The 2,162-nt window shown below is 37.3% G+C and overlaps 1 protein-coding gene across 1 annotated transcript; it reads right to left on the bottom strand.

Annotated features, from left to right (window-relative positions):
• Positions 1 to 826: 826 nt before the first annotated feature.
• OR4C16 (olfactory receptor family 4 subfamily C member 16) lies at positions 827 to 1,759 on the bottom strand. Its single transcript, NM_001004701.2, has one exon. The coding sequence runs from the start codon at positions 1,757 to 1,759 to the stop codon at positions 827 to 829; it is 933 nt and encodes a 310-aa protein (NP_001004701.2).
• Positions 1,760 to 2,162: the final 403 nt, after the last annotated feature.

Raw genomic sequence — 2,162 nt, 5'->3', positions numbered from 1 at the left:
ATTTAAAAGCATTTGTAAAAGAATAATTATTCTTCCTGCACTATATACAAATAATCAGGCCAAATGTAGTAAAGCAAACCAGTCCCCAAAATTAGAAGGGATCAATTAGGACCATAAAGTCATTTTACAAAAAGAATAATTACATGACTACAACACAAACTGTGAGAGTCTTCCTAAGATCAAGAACTCTTTCAGAAGGGTAAATTTTCTTTCTTTGTTCTGTCATGGTTTTAGAAGTATCTAGGTAAACTTATAGAAAGATTTCAGCATACAGCTCAAAAAATTGGAAGGGAGATTTCCTAGGTCATATATATTGTCTCTTGCAACATGAAGCTCCTACAATTACTGAAATATGGTACTTCCTGTTGAGTCAGGAAGAACAACTAAGTTGATCATGAGGTATGAAGAATCCAATGTGTCTAATAAAGAAAACCATTAAGAAGGGGAAAAATCCTATTGGACTGTTTATATTTAGATGGGTAAATATTAGCAGGGAATTCCAGAAGTCAACATGGAGAAGAACAGGCAAACTACAGACCTAAACCATAAGTGACACTAAGCAGGCAGGAGGACCAGAGACACAGGAGTGAATAGCACTGAAGGCAATGAGCTTTACATACTAGTTTGTATTGCATGCTGTCTTTTCTGCCACATAAAACTGACTCAACATTAACCATTGTTATTTGTTTACACTGTCTCTTTTCCCAAAGGAACTAATCCTCATGTACCAAGGCAGGATTACATTAAATCAACAATAAAAATATAATATTCTCATTGATTTCTTCTAGGTCACTCCAAACTATAAAGAAGGATTTGAAACCTTCATTTATCTTTTGTCATCTGTGATCAATTTCTTGCTCCAAAGCTTCCTCATGGCACTTTTCACTTCTGTATTCTTCAGCGTGTAAATCACAGGGTTGAGAAAAGATGTTCCAACTGTATAAAATACAGCTATCATCTTATCCATGGGGAATACGGTTGCAAGGCATGTGTACATAAATATGCAAGGTCCAAAGAACAAGATGACCACAATGATGTGGGAGACACATGTGGAAAGTGCTTTCTTTATCACTTCAGCACTGTGGTTTCTCAGAGAATGCAAGAAGATGACATAGGAGAATATTAGCATGACATAACTCACTGCACAAATGGCCCCACTATTGGAAACCAGGAGTAGGTTAACCACATAGGTTTCTGAACAGGCTTGTTTCAACAAGGGCTGCAAGTCACAGAAACAGTGATTGATCACATTGGGGCCACAGAATGGCAAACTCAGGGCAAGAAAAATCTGAACTAAAGAATGCACACAGGATCCCACCCAGGCCACAGCCATCAAAACACCACAGACCCACTGGCTTATGATGGTCATGTAGTGCAGGGGCTTACAGATGTCCACATAGCGGTCAACAGCCGTGAGGATGAGGATGAAGATCTCCAGGCAGCCAAAGACATGGGATGAAAAGACTTGGATCATGCACTCGCTGAAGGAGATAGTTGTCTTCTTCAAAAGGGCATCCACAATCATTCTAGGGGTTATGGAAGTAGAGAGGCAAGTATCAGATAAGGATAAGTAGAAAAGGAAGAAGAACATTGGGTTCTTAAGTGCCTGGCTGGTCTTGACACTAATAATGATTAGCAAATTACCCAACAGTGTTCCCAAGTAGAGACGCAAAAAAATAACAAACACTATTTTCTTCCAAAAAGGATCCTGTGTCAATCCAAGCAGAATGAACTCAGTCACATTATTATTCAGTTGCATGGTTTTCGTGAGTGAGGTGAAGGGGCAAGTGTGAAATGGTCTACCTGCAAAAAAAAAAGGAATTAATTTATGCTGTGCTATGTGATGTTATGGAATATTTTATGCAAAATTAAATATTTCTTATTGGATACATTCTGGTGGCGGTTTCTTAATAAGCCACTTCAACACTTTCTTCCAAATTTTAATGACCACTTCATAGGGTTATTATGATTCTCAAATATGCTTATGAACATGATACCTTGCTATAGCATTCTTCAAGTACAAGCCTTGGTTAGCTTTGGCATCATTCTGATTAATTTTTCCAATTCAAGGAAGGTAAATGTAAGAGGTAATGATCCATTTTAATATTAAATTTCATTTTATAATTTTCAATAAATACTGAGGGCCATTTTTTATGTTGTGT

The sequence above is a fragment of the Homo sapiens genome, chromosome 11 (genome assembly GCF_000001405.40).
Source record: "Homo sapiens chromosome 11, GRCh38.p14 Primary Assembly".
NCBI lineage: Eukaryota > Metazoa > Chordata > Mammalia > Primates > Hominidae > Homo > Homo sapiens.
Note: the sequence above shows the minus strand (reverse complement) of the source record. Positions and strands in the feature narration are given on the sequence as shown.

Bases quoted from the DNA above. Each gene is read 5' to 3' on its own strand.
- OR4C16 (NM_001004701.2), bottom strand. From the start codon at position 1,759: ATGCAACTGAATAATAATGTGACTGAGTTCATTCTGCTTGGATTGACA.